This window comes from Homo sapiens, chromosome 6 (genome assembly GCF_000001405.40).
Source record: "Homo sapiens chromosome 6, GRCh38.p14 Primary Assembly".
Taxonomy (NCBI): Eukaryota; Metazoa; Chordata; class Mammalia; order Primates; family Hominidae; genus Homo; species Homo sapiens.
This window is the reverse complement of record NC_000006.12, coordinates 53,958,221-53,977,579: the sequence shown is the minus strand read 5'-3', so window position 1 is coordinate 53,977,579 and position 19,359 is coordinate 53,958,221. Positions and strand designations below refer to the sequence as shown.

At 38.8% G+C, this 19,359-nt stretch overlaps 1 long non-coding RNA gene across 1 annotated transcript in view, besides 2 other annotated features; it reads right to left on the bottom strand.

The window, feature by feature from the left end:
• Positions 1 to 19,359, bottom strand: part of LOC101927189 (uncharacterized) — a 67,686-nt gene that overhangs the window by 20,088 nt on the left and 28,239 nt on the right. The gene's annotated exons all lie outside the window — the stretch shown is intronic.
• Positions 176 to 380: a silencer, noted in NCBI's record as "fragment chr6:53841998-53842202 (GRCh37/hg19 assembly coordinates)". NCBI's record gives its function as "represses an EF-1alpha promoter that drives an FKBP-Casp9 reporter gene in an ReSE screen in HepG2 liver carcinoma cells {active_cell/tissue: HepG2}" and the evidence as "EXISTENCE:reporter gene assay evidence [ECO:0000049][PMID:32094911]".
• Positions 15,222 to 15,722: an enhancer, noted in NCBI's record as "OCT4-NANOG-H3K27ac hESC enhancer chr6:53826656-53827156 (GRCh37/hg19 assembly coordinates)". NCBI's record gives its function as "activates a minimal SCP1, AML or CMV promoter by ChIP-STARR-seq in naive H9 embryonic stem cells {active_cell/tissue: H9 hESC(naive)}" and the evidence as "EXISTENCE:reporter gene assay evidence [ECO:0000049][PMID:30033119]".

The following is a 19,359-nucleotide window of genomic DNA, read 5'->3' as shown; positions in this document are numbered from 1 at the left end:
GTTGCCCAGGCTGGAGTGTAATGGCACAATCTCAGCTCAGTGCAACCTCCACCTCCCAGGTTCAAGTGATCCTCCTGCCTCAGCCCCGCTACTAGCTGGGATTACAGGCACGCGCCACCATGCCCAGCTAATTTTTGTATTTTTAGTAAAGACAGGGTTTCGCCATGTTGCCAGGCTGGTGACCTGACCTCGTGATCCGCCCGCCTCGGCCTCCCAAAGTGCTGGGATTACAGGTGTGAGCCACCGTGCCTGGCGTTTACTTTGTATCTTTTATGGTTAGTACATGGGGTTAAAAGTAAGGCCATCCTCCTTTAGAACTCTGAGTATTAAATCTATGACATCAACACAGAATAAGTAAGATTGGTGATTGGCAGAAATCATCTGGACACAATGGTCAGGGCCCACATGTGTCGATGTGCAGGCTGGGCACTGGGCAACCTTACACAGTCCCAGTCAGGTGCACAACCTACAGACCACAACTGGCAGCCTTGGGAGTGATTTTCTCTCAGGTCAGGGAAGGAAGACAAACCCTGGAAATCAAATCTAGGCTCTACCGAGTATAAACAAAGGCTGAATATTATCAAGAGTGCTGAGATGTCTGAAAGAAGAATGTGTGGCTGAAGGAGATGGGCCTCAGCTCCAATCCTGCCTTCATGACTAGAAGGTAAATGCCTTTTTTACCAAGCAAGACCAGGCTCACATTCTTTTGATCCCCTATATTTTGCCCAATAGGCTCTGCAGTTCATGACCTGCAATCAATGTTCAATGATTTATTTTCTCTACTGGTGCTTTGCAAGAGGCAAATTTTATTTGGGCTAATAATAATCACAAAATAAATACAAGAATCCCCTTTCACTTATAAAGTACTAGAAAAATACCAGAAAACTGCTATTAAAACACCCAGCTGGCATGGGGTTGGAGCTCCATGTCCACATTTTAAACGTGAATGGCTCTTAAGAAAGACAGTTTTACCCAGTATGCATGGTCTGATAAGTAATTTAAAGTAATCTGAAACGCTTCTGAGGAAAGTTCCTTCTAAAGAGAGAAAAAAAACAAAAGTTACAAGTTATGACACAGCTTTAAGTAACCATGTAATACATACAATTCAGAGTGTTAAAAGACATATCTTGTCCACCATACCTCTGGCTGTTTGCCTCTTCGTGGTATGGCAGGCATTTTTGTTGAATTTTCCTTGAACAGCCTGTCAGTGAGAACCCACTGAGAATACAGGAAAATTTTATCAAACATTTCCTCCAACTCATACTTGGCTTCAGAAGGAAAGAAAAAAAAACACAACAAAAAAAAAAAAACACAGGGGGAAAGAGTAATTGCATTTTCAATCATGGTTATTCAGCTGCAACTTCTAGAGTCAAGGCTAGTTAATTCTTATTTGCCGACATACAGGTCTTAACCAAGTTCACATTTCACCCACTACAAAAAAAAAAAAAAAAAGGCAAGAACTGTGTGGGCTCATTAAGCCCTCATTACTTTTCAGACATGACACAGTGTAATTTGTGAAATGATCTAACTTCACTGAACCCAAGAGGTGAGGCCAGGACATTGGCTCACCACTTGATTTTTACCTTTCTCTTCATCATGACTTAGTCAAATCTGATTCTGAGACTATCTTTTCAAATCATAAAAATTAGCTATATTGGCCAGGCGCGGTGGCTCATGCCTGTAATCCCAGAACTTTGGGAGGCCAAGGCGGGCAGATCACAAGGTCAGGAGATCAAGCCCATGCTGGTTAACTCAGTGAAACCCCGTCTCTACTAAAAATACAAAAAAATAGCCAGGCTTGGTGGCGGGCACCTGTAGTCCCAGCTACTGAGGAGGCTGAGGCAGGAGAAGGGTGTGAACCTGGGAGGTGGAGCTTGCAGTGAGCTGAGATCGTGCCACTGCACTCCAGCCTGGGTGGCAAAGTGAGACTCCATCTCAAAAAAAAAAAAAAAGTTAGCTATATCATCTCAGGAAAGAAAAAAAAAGGTTCCATAATCCATTCAAATCAAACACACATTCAGTGCTTATTTAAGCACATAGCTCTTTGCTTAGCCTTTTAGAGAATGCATATAAGATATAGTTCCTGCCTTCAAGGGGCATTCATTTTCTTTAGGAAGGCAACACACATAAAAATGGGCACGCACAAACAGAGAGTGAAATAACAATCGAAGGCAGTGTAGACTGAGAGGCAGTATGGGTGGAAAAGAGGGCAGATTCTGAACCAGATTGTTTTGATTCAAATCCTAGTTCTACCATCCTATGACCTTGAGTCAGTTACTTAACCTGTCTGTACCTCTGTTCTCAACTGCAAAATGGATATAATAATTATACTTACTTCATCTGATTGACTGAGATTAAATGAACTAAGAGAGACTTAGAACAATGCCTGGCACATAGTAGTTACTCAGAGAATAGTGTTATTATTCTATGATTAAGAGCCAATTCATGGAACAACAAGTGCTTTATAAGCTCAAATGAGAAACAAATATCTGTGGGTTAGTTGATCAGAAAAGGTTATTCAGAAGAAATACAATGTTAGCATCTAGAATAGGAATTGAAGAAGAGAGCCTTATTCAATATAATCTCCCATGAAGGAGAGAATAAGCCAGGAGAATTCAAAAACCAGAAGCAGGCCATCCTAGTTACAGAGATTTTTTTCATTGAAAAATAGAAGAAGATGAGGTTGAAGGATGGATGGCCAGTCCATTGCAGAAGAGCTGGTCACCGGGACAAAGACTGTGGATTTTACCCTTTGGGCAATAGGAAGCCCCCAGGGGTTCCTGGACAGGTTAATTACAGAGTAAGAGTAATATTTTTACAAGGTTAATTCCGCAGCACTTGGAAGTGCAGTGTGGAGGGGAAGAGAGACTCAAGGTAGGGAGGCCATTCATGAGACAATCACAATGATCCAGGTGTGAGGGGATCAATAAAAAACAGAAAAGAATCAGCACAGATGCTAGTATGAAAGAACAATCAAGGGGCCTCAGTAGATCAGATCAGAGATGAGAGACATAGTTGGAAGACCACATGAGTGATGAGAATAAATCTCATCAGAGATTTTGGTCTCTTTTCCTACCACAATGGCAGTGACACAAACACAAATAGTTAAGTCAGGAGACCTGAACTCTTTTGGAGCATGCTGGAGGAAACCAGAATTCCATTCTTGAAATAAAGACTATGGGGAAACAGAAAAACATCCAAAAAGAAATCTCAAAAGGACAGATGGAAATAAATTATTGCAGAAGAGAAATTTGGGCTTCAAAAATAGGTTGAGGATCCTCAGCTCATGGAAGCCAGAAGAGTGGATGAATTCACAGAGTGAGATCCACAGATACAGATGCTCCTCAACTTACAGTGCGGTTATGTCCTGATAAGTCTATCCTAAGTGGAAAATATCGTAAGTCAAAAATGCATTGAATGCACCTAACCTATCTAACATCATAGCTTAGCCTGACCTACCTTAAACATGCTCAGAGCACTTACATTGGCCTACAGTTGGGCAAAATCATCTAACACAAAGCCTATTTTATACTAAAGTGTGAATATCTCATGTAATTTTTTGAATACTTTACTGAAAGTGAAAGATGGAATTACTGTTTACCCTCATCATCAGCTGGTTGACTGGGAATGGTAGCTCCCTTCTGCTGCCCAGCATTGTGTAAAAGTATCCTTCCGCCTATCACAAGCCCAGGAAAAAAATCAAAATTCAAAATTTTAAGTGTCATTTCTATTGAATGTATATCACTTTCACACCATCATGAAGTTGAAAAATCATGAGTCAAACCACCAAATGTTGGGGGCCATCTGTACCAAGAAAGACATAGTAAAAAAAAAAAAAAAAAGTCACACGTGCAAGAGCATCACTTCCTCAATGAAGGGGTTTGGGCCTTTTTTCCTACCACAATGGTAATGATGGAGAACTATGCAAAGTGATCGATATGGTTAGGTTCTGTCTCCCCACCCAAATCTCATCTTGAACTGTAATCCCCATAATTCCCACGTGTCGAGGGCAGGACCTGGGATCATGGGGGCAGTTTCCCCCATACTGTTCTTGTGATAGTGAGCTCTCACAAGATCTGATGGTTTTATAAGTGTTTCACAGTTTCTCCTACATGTGCATTCTCTCTCACCAGTCATCATGTAAGACGTGCCTCTTCCCCGTCCGCCATGATTGTAAGTTTCCTGAGGCCTTCCCAGCCGTGCAGAACTGTGAGTCAATTAAACCTTTTTCCTTTATTAATTACCCAGTCTCGAGTATTTCCTTATAGCAATGTGAGAATAGACTAATACAGTGATGAGGGATAACAATTAATGCTGATGTTTTGGTCTAAATCAATAAACAAATGTGTGGAAGGAAAGACCCTGAACTGGAAGTTAGGATGGCAAGGAGTTCTGTAAAATAACAGGTATGTAATTAACACAGAGGGGCCCTTCCAACTATACAACTCTACATGATTCCTGTCATTTCTAGGTGTATTGTTATGAATAACTTTAATTATTCCATTTGGATTATTTTTCTTTTCCAATAATCCCTAATAAGAATGTTTAACTTTTTAAAATAATGAGAAAAAGTATTCTAAAAGCTTATAAGACATCTGTTTATAGGAATAAGAGTTTAACAACTTTCAAAGAAAATGTAGACACTATAGTTTATATAAACATTTATAGAAATAGGTACACTCTATAAGGAATTTACATACATAATTTATACAGCTAGTCTATATAAAGGGATTCACATATTTTGCTATCTGCATTTTAAAAAATAAAATACATAATAATCATTATTTATTTCTATTTTTAATACATGATATGCTTAAGGCAACAAATTACTTCTTTTTTTTTTTTGGAAAAGGCCTAAGTCCTTTCCATAAATCTAAAAGTACTCAGACATTTCATTTATTTAGTCAGTCAGTCAGTGAATACTGAATGCATTGATAAGAAAAAATTAAAAAGACATCCTCTCTCTGCACAGAGTAATGGTAATTTTTTTTCCTTCTTGACCTCTTCTCCTTCATTCCTCCCTGTCTAATACATACAGCTTAGTTGTGTATAATTGACTTCTTCTTTTTTTTTTTTTTTGAAAGAGTCTCACTCTGTTGCCTAGGCTGGAGTGCAGTGGCACGATCTCAGCTCTCTGCAACCCCCACCTCCTGGGTTCAAGCAATTCTCATGCCTCAGCCTCCCAAGTAGCTGGGACTACAGACATGTGCCACCATGCCTGGATAATTTTGTATTTTTAGTAGAGATGGGGTTTTGCCATGTTGGCCAAGCTGGTCTTGAACTCTTGGCCTCAAGTGACCTGCCCACCTCAGCCTCCCAAAGTGCTGAGATTATAGGCGTAAGCCACCACGCCTGGCCAGTATAATTGACTTCCACTGACCACTCATGACTGAGGGAGGAATATTACAACATAGAAAGCATAAAGCAGAGTGTCACACATCACCATCTTAAGACCTCTTTAACCATCCCTACCTCTTGGAAATTCTCACCAGCTCTCTTCCTCCTCAGACCCTAGCCTCCTGCTATGTTGCGGGGCTCCTCTCCTCTCTCCAGGAATCTTCCCCTGTACCTGCTCTTCCCAGGGACATGACCTGTCTTTCTGTCTCTTCTACCTGCCAATAAAAAAATTCAAAAGTCCTTTTCTTTCATTATGCCCATGATACTGTGCCATTTAGTTCTCCAGCTCCTTCCCAGACTCGGATTAACTTGCATACTCTACATCTAAAGTCCTCACATTTGAGCACAGTATTAGCATCACGGGAAGGGTTGTTAAAACCAATATTGTAAGGCCTCATCCCCAGAGAATTTGCATTTGTAATGAATTCTCTGGAGCTGCTGATGCTGCTGGTGATCTCTCACACTCTGAGAGCCACTGCATATGAAAGGTCATTTAACAAGTTGTCCTAGCAGTAGAATCACCTACATACTCCTGGCCTCATCATTAGCCATACAAAAGGAAAATTGGAGCTTTCAAATGAAAGTCTTTCTCTATCTCAGACCTGGGTAAGACAATCCCCCCTTGTAACATTTTCTGAAAGTGGAAACTGTTCTTAAATGTTCTGCCCTCTGTCCAGAGCATTCCTGTAATGAGGATTAATTTCATTAACCTTCACCTTCCTTCTTCCTCTTGTGTCCCACATCTACACAAGCTGATAAGCTCGGGGGCTCCCTGCTTTGGCATTGGTGGGAGATTCAAACCATGCAATCCTCTTTGCAAGTGAACCTTCACCTGGGCTATCATCCCCTAACAGCAATAAACACCCATTTCAGTCTCCTTTCCTAGCTCTTTCAAGCCATTTAGGATCTGCTTGAGAGGTCTGCCCTACTCTTCCTAGAGACCTCAATTCTGTAAGTAATAAACCTTTCCATAGCTTTTTCTTGCGTGTGTGGCATCATCAGTCTCAACATCTGAACCAAACTTTAGATTGGAATCCCTCCTTCTTTTACAGGGTGATCATAACAATTCTCCCAGAGCTCAGAGGTCCCCCCTCCCTTCTCTTTACATTGAAAGAACCTAAGAAAACTCATCCTATGCAATTACATGGGTAGAATTAAGTAAAAGTTTACATATCAAATTTGAGGACACTTCCCCTCCCCATTACTGAAAATTGAGTACAAACATACCAGGAAAGTCCTAAGGATACTGATATAAAAAGATGGCCTTATACTGATATAAAAAGATGGCCATGACAGCCAGTCCCATTCACAGGCATGAACCTTCCCCAATCAGCTTTTTAATGTCCCATTTAAAAATGACTAGACAGGTGATGATCACCAGGCGTGTAAGGAAAGCACCTCATATGAAATACAGAAATCAAAGCAACTAACAGAAAAAAAAAAAAAAGCAACTTACAGGAGATAGATGCAATACAGAAAGAAAAAAAGTCTTCAAAAAATATCCCTAATATTCTGAAAGAAATAAGAGAATGTATTACATCCATGAAGTAAGAATAAGACACAAAAATATATGCAGAGGCTAAAAAAGAGTTCTGAGAAATCAAAAATATGATAGCATAAATGTAAAACTCAGTAGAAGGAAGAAGAAATATTCCAGAAAGTAATATATTCCAGAAAGTAAAAGACAAAAGGATAGAAAATGGAAATTTATTTAATAAAAAATAGAAAATTAGGAAAGTCCAGTAGGTCAAAGATCCAAATAACAGAAAATCCAGAAACAGAGCACAGAGAAAAAAAGAGAGTAAATAGTTAAGAAAGTAATACAAAATAATTTTCCCGTAATTGAAGGAAATTAGTTTTCACATTGAAAGGGATACAAAGTTCTAATATAATGAACGAATATAGACCTCAATGAAGGCATGTCATTGTGAAATTTCAGAACAAGAGTAAAGCAGAGAAGAGCCTAAAAACACCAATGTTTTGTTCTTTTTGATTAAGAGTCAGAACAGTATTGCATCATTCAACAACACTAGAAGCTAGAACCCAAAATTATAAGGGGAAAAGATTTTCAACCTAGAATTCTGTATCTAAACTATTGAAAAAATATCCAAATAAAATAAATATATATTTTTCTTTTTTTTTTTTTTTTTTGAGACAGAGTCTCACTCTGGCACCCAGGCTGGAGTGCAGTGGTGCAATCTTGGCTCACTGCAAGCTCCATCTCCCCAGTTCACGCCATTCTCCTGCCTCAGCCTCCCAAATAGCTGGGACTACAGGTGCCCACCACCACGCCCAGCTAATTTTTTGTATATTTAGTAGAGACGGGGTTTCACCGTGTTAGCCAGGATGGTCTCGATCTCCTGACTTTATGATCTGCCCACCTCAGCCTCCCAAAGTGCTGGGATTACAGGCGTGAGCCACCGTGCCTGGCCAAAAATATTTTCTGATAATGTAAGATCTGAAAAAAATCTTTTTTTGAATACATCTTTCTCAGAAAACTACCAAAGAACATGTTCAACCAAAACAAAGGAGTAAACTAAGAAACAGGAAAACAAGGGAACCAAAAACAGGCAATCCAACATAATAGAGAAGTTTAAAAAATCTGTAGGGAGATGGGGGGAATTCCCAAGAACATAACTCTGGACCAAGTCTTGAGAGTAACTAGGAGAGTTTAGGACAAGTTGGAAGGCCCCAACAGGAATTTTTTCAAGAAGATGACTAGACAAAATTTAATGTGGCTGATTAAATTTGGACAACTGACAGAATTTAGGATTGAATTAGGAATAAACATAGAAAACAACTAAGTAAATAATGAGTATTAACTCCAAGGAAAATAAAGTATTTTACAAGAAAGAGTAATCATAGTATACCAGTTGGCTTATCTGTAAATAGCATTTTTATAGTCAAAATAACATTGAATATTGATCTAACCAAAATTGTGCTCCGCTTCACTAGGAGAGCAGGAGAGGAATAGAAGTAAACATGTATGATAGGTCAAAAGAGAAGCTATGAAGCAAAGGATATCAAGCAATACATTACGACTAAAACTACAAAAGTGTAGTAACAATAAAGTTGTAGCAAAAGAAGTAACAATATAAATCTGCTATATAGAGATATGGAGAAAATGTATTTTTAAGAATAGCTCTATTAGTTGAAAATGCTGCAGAGGAGTAGAAATTTGGGAGAATGGTTAGGGATACCAGTGAGTTGCTGTTTTTTGTTAAAATCCCTGTAGAGGGATTTCTCATTTCTTAACCTATGTGCATATGTAGTTTTAAATAGTTTAAATATAAAGTACTTATTCTTTTTAAAAATAATTTATCCAATAAAAAAATTACTGAATTAATTTTCTTCTTACTCTTACCACAAATAATTTAAAGTTAATATCAAAAATATAGTTCATAAACAAAAAAGTAAGCACAAATATAGAAGGAAATCAAGAGAAAGGAGAAAGAATACAAGTTTCTTAAAGAATTCCAAATTAATAGTAACACTTTTGTCTCTCTCCTCAACTGAAAGAAGTGAACACATAAAAGCTACTGTGATTTTGTGTGAGGTGTTTGTTTAGCGTTGCTTTGTTTTTATGAGAAGGAGATCTCTATAATTTTTTTAATGTTAAAAAGTTGTTCTCATATTTCCAAAAGCTGAGAACCACTGAGCTAGAAAATTGTTTATGACTCACAATTTTGAGCTGATCTAGTTTTCAAAAGTGAATGCATCTTGTTAATGTTCACATATCAACTCTGCTTCTCCCAAAGGACAACCACATGAAATAGAGGCAGTTATTTTTCCTGTAGGCCTCAGGATGTTTTTAAAGTATATATACATAAGTGGAATATCTGCACTAATGCTACTAATCCCAGGTGCATTTCTGCAAATGGGGATTTCTGTGAATCCATTCCTCTGAGAAATAAGCATTTTTATATCTGCTGTGTGTTCTGTTTGTCTAAATTATAGATGTAAAAGCCTAGGAAACCGGCAAGGATTTGTGTTGTGGTTTTTTAAAAAATAATATTCAAATTACATTAGGTACACTATGAGCTCCTAATAGTATTCCATGTTTTGTATTTTCTAACATTTGCATTTATTAAGCCAGAAGCTTAAACTGCAAACACCCAAGTCATGAATTTGGATAAGAAAGTTCTGAAGATTTTGATTCTAAGTTGGTTCATTTTATTTTCTAATATTTGTATTTCTCTTCACAAATAGCTATGATTTACCTAATAGGAAATTCACCAAAATATTAGGGGACATTGTTAATTTCTTTATGTGGAATCTGCATTTTCTAAAAGAAGAGCAGACCTGGAGGGAATAGCAAGAGCCGGCGATGACAGTGGAGGTCCAAGTGGCTCTGACAAACAGGTATTTGGATGTTGGAGTCTGAGACGTGGAGAAAGGGCTGGGCTGAAGAGATACATTTGGGACATCTGTGTTATAGAAGTTGCATTTAAAGCCAAGGGGATTCCTACGGTCACTGAAAGCAAGAGAACACAGTGAAGAAAGAAAAGCTCAAAGACTGAGGTCTAAAGAAATGCAAAACTTAAAGGACAGGTAAAAGATAAGGGAGACTCCAGAAATGCAGGAAGGAAACAAGGAAACCATGATGCTACAGAAGCCAAAGGAATGTCCTCAGGGTGTTTCATGAAAAAGGGAGTGTTGGTGCTTAGATTCACTAAGAGAAGGAGTAGAAGTTGTCACTGAATTTGGCATATATATCAAGCACATAAATAGTGGTTGAGGTTGATAATCATGAATTGATAGTGCTATTATTCCACTGGATTGTGGTTCTCTCTGCCAAGATTAGGAATTGACAGAGAGTAAAGAGTTGGGCTTATTCAGTGTTAGGGTTAGCCAGGCGAGAGACACAAAAGAAAGGTAGACAGAGGAATGAAAGTATTTACAAGAGAGTAATTATAATAATAGATTATGGAATCTGGCCTGGAAAGGAACAAAGTAAAAACATATTTTTACTTTGGACAGATTGATATTAAAAATAGCCTAGCAAGAACCATCTTTTGTTTATTATTTTTTCTTCATTTTTTATGTTTTTTCCCTTAGGATAGATTTCTAAAAGTAGAATCATTAGATCAAATGGTATAATTTTTTTTAAATTATTGATACATGCTGCCAAATTGCTTTCAAAAAAGTTCACGGCATCTTAAACTGGTCAACAAAGCATAACATTGCCTGTCTCCAAACTAGTCAACTTCAAGAAAGCTAAATATACATAATATAAGAAGAATAATATACAAGGTTTGATTGACATTAAAATTTTATCATCTCTGAAACCAAGTAAATTAGCTCCTACGTTTCCTTTACTCTCCTCCTACCCATGCATCCCTCTTTCTTGATCTTTTTCAGTTTCCGTTATAAAATAACCCTTTCCACATTGAGTAATTCTGCTTCAACTCAAAATCCTTAAAGTAGCTGTAGGTACTTTATTCAAGGAAAAGTTGAGCAAAAAGTTTTTAAAAATTATTATATGAACAAAAAAACTGGTTTTATTGCAGCAGCAAATATTCTCCCTCTTCTCCCACGCTCCCTTCTCTCTTTCTGCCTCTTTCTCCCTCTCTCTCTCTCTCACCTCCCCATCTCTCTCATATTTTTGGTCACTAAGAATTTAAGAAAGAAACAACTACAAGTGACTCTCACTCTTCTCTCCCTTGTAGCTAATTTGAGTCAGCATTTTCCTAACAGACCTAAAAGCTTTTACATAGATCCTTATGTTCAGAGCTTATTCCTAAGTGAAAGGAGAAAACAACCAGGATAGTGGCAAGGCAAACATGTCAGTCAGCCCATGCATAGATTGCTAAAGAGTTTTTATAAAACTCGGTACGATGATATCTTCTATATTCATATGTTTTTCCAATAAATGATTACCATTTCTAGGGCTTTGCATAACTTAAGAGAAAGACCGTTATTCCCTGGAGATTCTATCATGACCTATGGAACCTAAGGATGATAAGAGGAATAAGATATCATATGGCTCTAAATTTCTTTTTTTGTGTGGTGAGGGGGACAAAGTCTCACTCTGTTACCCAGGCTGTAGTTCTGTGGTGTGATCTTGGCTCACCGCGAACCTCTGCCTCTCATGTTCAAGCAATTCTCCTGCCTCAGCCTCCCAAGTAGCTGGGATTACAGGCGCGCGCCACTGCACCCGGCTTATTTTTTGTATTTTTAGTAGAGACAAGGTTTCACCATGTTGGCCAGGCTGGTCTTGAACTCCTGACCTCAGGTAATCTGCCTGCCTCGGCCTCCCAAAGTGCTGGGATTACAGGCGTGAGCCACCGCGCCCAGCCTCTAAATCTCTTAAAGAATTAGAAACTAAAATCCAGAGCAGTTAAGTACCTGGTTCAGGAAACACAGCCAATCAGTAACTAATTTCAGACAAAGACTGAGTCACTGTCTCCTGAGCCAGTTCTGCTCTTGTCGTCCTCATGATAGGCAGATGTATGCAAATTGGTAGACAATGAAGATGTTTCTGGGTATAAGTGGTGAAAACATCAATAACCTCACATCAGATGTTACAATACAAGATAAATTTTCTATATCATACTATCATACTAAGAAAATTTCATTTTTGAACACTGAAAATAACTAGTTGTATTAGTCTGTTCTCATGTTGCTAATAAAGACATACTTGAGACTGGGTAGTTTATAAAAGAAAGAGGTTTAATTGACTCACAGTTCCACATGGCTGGGAGGGCCTAACAATCATGGCAGAACGTGACCAAAGAGCAAAGTCACGTCTTACATGGTGGCAGGCAAGAGAGCTTGTGCAGGGAAACTCCCACTTATAAAATTGTCAGATCTCATGAGACTTATTCACTACCACAAGGACAGTATTGGGGGAAACACCCACGTGATTCAATTACCTCTGCCTGGCGCTGTTCTTGACACATGGGTATTTTTACAATTCAAGGTGAGATCTGGGTGAGGACACAACCAAACCATATCACTAGTAGTTTCTAAGTATGTGGTTCCAGAGGACACAACCAAACCATATCACTAGTAGTTTCTAAGTATGTGGTTCCAGAGAAAACAACAGTAATATTAGTTAAATTGTATTTTTGTTTGTTTTTGAGAAGGAGTCTGGCTCTGTCACCCACGCTGGAGTGCAGTGGTGCAATCTCGGCTCATTGCAACCTCTGCCTCCCCAGTTCAAGTGATTCTCCTGCCTCAGCCTCCTGAGTAGCTGGGATTACAGGCGTGTGCCACCATGCCTGGCTAATTTTTGCATTTTTAGTAGAGGTGGGGTTTCACCATGTTGGTCAGGCTGATCTCAAAGTCCTGACCTCGTGATCCGCCCTCCTTAGCCTCCCAATGTGCTGGGATTATAGGTGTGAGCCATCGCACCTGGCCAAATTGTGTGTTTAAATTCTGAGTTTAAACACACAATTAATACTTAATACCCATAAGTACCCTAATGCTTATGGATAGTAAGTATATGTGCATGTATGTGTGCATACACACACACACCATAGCACACATGTGTGCATACATGCACACATACTTAATACCCATATACATACACCAGTGAGGCCACTTGCCATCTACATGGATGCTTCTCAGTGACAAGATGGCCACATATTTCTGAGTGAATTGCTTTACCTTTAAGGATGGCTACATTTGTTCTGTCACTTGTGGGATCCAAGTAACCTTAAGTTTCTCCAGAGATGTCGCTAGACCCTAATGGAATGTTGGTAGAAATAGAAACCAGAGAAACTGTCCTTCTCTTGTTGGTCACAGACAAAGTATTTTCTTCAGATGTAGCTTCTTGGATTTCCCATGAAAAACTTTCCAGAGATTTGTTTGGTCTCTGGTGTTGATTCCAGCTGCCAGGTACTGGCTCCTGCTTTGGATTTTAAAAGGAAAGGTAAGTGACATACCACTTCTGAACCTATGCAGAGTGATGACATTCATTGAACCATATTTGCCGACCATATTGGTAAACACTATTCTAAGGCATAGAGAGTATCTTTAATCTGATATTTTCACTCTCTGCCATATTTCATTCCTCCCCTTCAAGCATTCTGAAGTTGCCAGCACTCTGCCCCTCATGAAGGGTCCTTCTTTCCACAGCTTCATCCTGTCTGGAAGAGAGATGCTTAGGTGCAGCTATTTTTTTTTTTTGATACATTCAAGTTTAAAGTTTGTACTGAGTACTTTAAAAATTTAGAATACAGGGTCCCAAAAAGAAGAGTACTGCTTAGAATTAGATTTAATTATTCCATTAAACTATTTAAAGAGGTAATTATTTGGGGGAATTTTGCTGCCTTTATCTGTAGAATTTTTAAACCTAGAGTTACCAAAATGGCATGCAATCTATTACAATAATCAATAAACAGTTTTAAAAGCTAGGTAATGCTGAGAATAATGAATAATGATAACAATAAACTTCTTTGGGATACATAGAAAACCACTATAAAGAAAGCACCTTTCTTTCCAAAAGGGCTTGCTTCATCTTAAAAGTGAGGTCCTGTAAAAAACAATACTACACCAACTGACTACATGCAATCTAAGAAGAAGATAAATGTCTAAGTCCTCTAAGATAAACTTCAGTATTAGATCAGGTGTTGGAAAGTTCAAACCACACTTAAAATATAAATTTAAAATATTTCAGAAGCACAACAGTGAGTACAGTGTGCATGAATAGTGTTTGATCAGGGGATTATTTTTAATTCCTCTGCATACAACTAGCCAATATTTTCACCATTACTTCACTAACATTCATGAGTCTCATTACATGAATTAGAGTAGTTAAATTATATTCTTCCCCCTCTCCACTCCCTTGCTGATACTGAGCCTATTTACAGGTCCATCTGCAGGAAAGCAGATCTTGATGATACCATGGCAACATGCTGTCAAACCCAAAGGAGACCAGTCCTGAGAGAATGGAGAGAATCAATGCAACCCACCACTAACTAGAGGAAAAATACTCAAAATGCTAGCTAGGCAATACTACCATCTCCACACCATACTTTTTTGGAACATACATTTCTTTCATTATTATTTAATTGTATAGCTGCAAAGAGAAAGGTCTAGAACTATTTTTTTAAACCTAGTGTGTTCTATGTTAAAGGAAATATTCTCTCCTGTTCTCACGTGGGTGCTCTCTCTCCTCAGCTACTTCCTCTTGACTGACTCTTTCATTTTTCATTAGCTGATCTGAGTTTGTCCAAAAAAAGCATCATGAAAATTTTTCTTTCCCTGTAATGAGTTCCAGCAGGAACCTTGCAAGTTAGCTCTAAGGAGATTTCAGAAGCCTCTTAGGCATGTCCTGAGAGGACAGACACGACCAGGTGATTGGCCTCCTCACTAATATCATCCTACATGGAGTGCTACTGACACCAGATCCAGCTGAGGGTGAGGCTGAGCAGAGTTTAGAACACTTACGGAGAAGTGCCTATTAAAATAGAAGTGCAGATGTTCAGTGCCCTTACTCAGAGAAGGGGAAAAAAAGAAAAGAATTCATTGATTTTAAAAAAGTTCATCTTGTCATTTTTTCTTCAATGCCATTAAATCATTGGATCATATTTATAAAATACCTGAAACTATATTGTGCCTCAGAGGCACTGAAAACATCTCTCTGGACCTTAGAAGAGTGAATGGCATTTCTTCACTCAACATGGACTCCTTGAACACTAACTGCGTGCAGATCCCCACCAGGTATTGGTGACCCAGCAGTGGCAAGGAAGCCAGGAAATTTGTATGGGCCAGTATCTTCCAACAATCCCACATCGGGGCACTCTTATCAGTAGATACTCTTCTTTTTATGTGGAACATGTAAGTTGGGGCTCAAATAGTAAAAGTTCAGGCTGAGTCCCACCTACAGATTTATTAAAGTAATACAAATTAAGCCTGGGCTTCAGCAACAACACCGGAGATCTGTGACAACACAACAAGCACAATCCCAAATAAACAGAGCCAAGGTCATAATTACTGCAACAGATTGTGGATGGCACTCAAAGCACTGAGTCGTTCACGCTTGAGAATTCCACAGCCAAGCCCTACAGTGGCGCCTGCTCTGCTCATCCACATTCCTTTCAGCATCAGATTAAATTCCAATCTCTAAGACATTCCTCCAGCCCAGTGGTTTTTCAGCTGAAGACCATAGACGCCTATGAAGATATTTTTGAGAAAACATAACTTTTAAAAAATTTTAAGGTTGTGCTTTCATCTCAAAGATTGCCATGCTGAAATTGCTTAAATTTGCTTAAATTCCAAAGAATCTGCATAACAATCTCCTCGCAAAATGTCCCAGGCTGTCCCCCCTTTGCTCTTATGTTTATGATCACGTTGAAGCCCAGGGAAGGCAAACACCACCATAAATGGAGGTTTTCCTTCCAGTTAAATGAGGGGAAAAAATGATAAGAAAATTGAGCAACAAGTTCTTTTAAGCCTCATCAAAAGAACCCACAGCATTTGGCCTACAATGTATAAATGTATTCCTCTAATCACATCTTTTTCATGCCAATTTATTTTGTTTTATTTTACAGAATAAAAATGTGTTTTGTAGTGCACTGCTAAATTGGCTCATTCAAATAACAGATGTGTGATTAAAACATTCATTGTGAAAAAGAGAAAATAATGACAGGAGTCATAGTAATGACTCAGATGATGGGCCATCATTTTCTAAATCAAAAGATTCAGGTTGATACACAAATATATTTCAACCCAGTTAAACGAGCTACCTGCAAATAAGTGTTAACTGAGTCACACTATCTGTCACTTTAATGCAATTCACTAGCTTTTAGAAAGGCAGCTTAACATAATTATTAAGTGCACACTTTCTGAAGCCAGATTTCCTGGGTTCAAAGCAAAGCTCTAATACTTAACAGTTGTGTGGACTGTATGCCTCAGTTTCTCAACTGTAAATCAGATGACCTGCCTCTGTGATAATTAAATTAGCAAAATGTAAAGCACTTAGACTATACTGTGAACACAGGAAAAACTTTACAAATGTGACTATTATCCATTTCACACAGTATTGTCTGTCTTATTTGTACATTCGGTTTAGTTTTATAGTCATATAACACTTGTGAGTATATAACTCATACAAGGAGTATATAATGAGTTTTTTATGTTTGTATATATTAATTATATTTAAATCAAAATACTGTGTAGTCAACATAGGTGAATAAGAATTGTTTGTCTTGCTCTGTTGCCCAGGCTGGAGTGCAGTGGCGTGATCTCGGCTCACTGCAAGCTCCACCTCCTGGTTCACGCCATTCCCCTGCCTCAGCCTCCTGAGTAGCTGGGACTGCAGGCGCCAGCCACCACGCCCAGCTAATTTTTTGTATTTTTTATTAGAGACGGGGTTTCACCGTGTTAGCCAGGATGGTCTCGATCTCCTGATCTCGTGATCCGCCCACCTCTGCCTCCCAAAATGCTGGGATTACAGGCTTGAGCCACCGCGCCCGGCCAAGAATTGTTTTAAATAATTGCATACTCTAGTCAAGTTTAAAAAAATCTTTTCCTAGCTATTGCTTAGCCCAGAAGCCTCACATGTTGCATAATGAGGATAGTATATTCTAGTTTCTGGGGGAAGTGTGATTTTCCTATCAAAGGCAACCTTGATAGATGATAACCAGGGATTCCTCATGCAGCTGCATTCCCGCGGATACCTCCCAAATTAAACCAATTATGGGCAACCTATCATCCTACTGTGGTTTTGAAATATGAGTCACTGAAGGGATCCACATAAGCTTCTAACAGAAAAGTTTTTAGTGAAAATGGAAACTCCATCCCAGCCATCTGGGAGGAAAGCAGCTATGACCAACACCCTGAATTGATGTCTTGGTCATTTGAAAAAACAGGTCAACTGATCCCTGCGTCTTTTGGTTCCATCTTCGACTGGCCTAGCTTAGTTTCAACTAGAAGCCTGGAACTATGTAGGAATGTGACTCCTCTGCTGGATTAAGAGGTGGGAGGCAGTTCCAAGGAAAGGAGAGGGATGAGGAGAAGGCAGACCCCTTACACTGGACCCCATATATCCCAAAATCACATTTAGTAAGCAATATTAATCAATATTGTAACAACATGCTGATAAAATAGAAATACTAAAAATTAATAAGAAAAGTAAAATGCCCAAAGTAAATGTTTTTAAGAATATGGCTAACAGCTTGACGCAGCAGCAAAACCAGATATAAGGCAGAGAAAGAAATTAGAGAGGACCTTCTCTCTCTGAAGCAAATCTGTCTCTGAAGCAAATCTTCTCTCTCTAAAGCAAATCTTCTTATCCTGGAAAGTAACCAGACAGTTGAGGTTTTGCAAAAGGAATTTTAGTAAGTGACTAAGGTAAACATGACAAGGCAATAAAAGTACCAGTTACTAAAAGAATTGAACACACACAAGGTAGCCAGTATTTTAAGCAAAGATGGGTTTTAATGAGAATATAATGCCGAATTTATCTAGATAGTGATAAAAGAGAGTTTAGCTTGCCATGAAATTAGGTGGATATTACCTGCAGGCATGGACAAGCTTCAGTCCCTTATAAAGCTACTTTTTCCGGCCGGGTGCAGTGGCTCACACCTGTAATCCTAGCACTTTGGGAGGCCGAGGTGGGCGGATCATGAGGTCAGGAGATCGAGACCATCCTGGCTAACACGGTGAAACCCCGTCCCTACTTAAAATATGAAAAAAATTAGCTGGGTGTGGTGGCCGGCACCTGTAGTCCCAGCTACTCGGGAGGCTGAGGCAGGAGAATGGCATGAACTTGGCAGGTGGAGCTTGCAGTGAGCCAAAATTGTGCCGCTGCACTCCAGCCTGGGCGACAGAGCAAGACGCCATCTCAAAAATAAATAAATAAATAAATAAATAAATAAATAAATAAATATTTTTTTTTAAAAAAAGCTACTTTTTCCGTAATTAACAAATGCAAGAGCCTACCAGTGCTAGACTGCCCAAGTTGCATAGTAAGTCCATGCTTAGAGAACCAGCAAAGCAAGAACACATATAGAAAATATTTAGAAATGTTATCACGTTTCTAAAATGGGAAAAGTCTAAACTTGGATAGACTTTTTCATGCATATTTTTTCAGGTTTGTATTATTTTATTTTGAATCATATGTGGCAGATGGGGATGGGGAGCACCATATACTTTTAGATGATAATTTAGATGTTAGTTTTCTGTTTCATGAGCAGCTGTGTGTACAGAGTACTATATTAAGTATATTTGCTGACAAAAGTGAGAAGTCACTTGAAAGGAACCTGCAATGAGGTAGGGATCGACCCCAGGCTACTTTTTTCCCCTTCTCGTCTATATTTAATTGTGAAAATGTTCAAACATATTAAAATGTTGAAAGACGTATACAATAGACACCATATACTCATGCTACAGACCAAATGTGCCCTCCGAAATTCCTATGTTGAAATCTGAGTCACTAACGTGATGGTATTAGGAGGTAGGATTTTGGGTTGCTGATTAGGTCATGAAAGTGGGGCCTTCATGAATGGAACCATTGCCTTTAAAAAATAGGCCTCAGAGAGCTCTCTTGTTTTTTAGTCTGATCTTGATCTCATGCCTTGATCTTGGACTTCCCACCCTACAGAACTATGAGCATCTAGCCCCAAGAGTTGTTCACCAGGAGCGAGCATTGAAGCCCCAAGAGTTGTTAGAGAGAGAGGTGACCTGTATAAAGCATCAGGGACTGTCCCTCTGTTTCCATTGAGATTCCCATTAGCTATCTACATTCATTCAGAAAACTTCTCAAGGTGCTTGGAGAGGCTGTTTCCTGGTCACCTTCTCACAGTATTAATGCCTTTTCAAATGAATCAACAGAACTCCATTTCCCACCTTCCCAGCTTTACTCCTTTCCCGTTTCTTATGAGGTACCTTAAACCAGGGTAATACATCCAGAGTGTTTGCAAAATAGTGAGCTTCCTGGAGTTACTTCCAAAAAAAAATGTAATGCCTAGGAAAAAAATGTTTAGAAAGCCCAACAGAACAAGCACTTTGGGA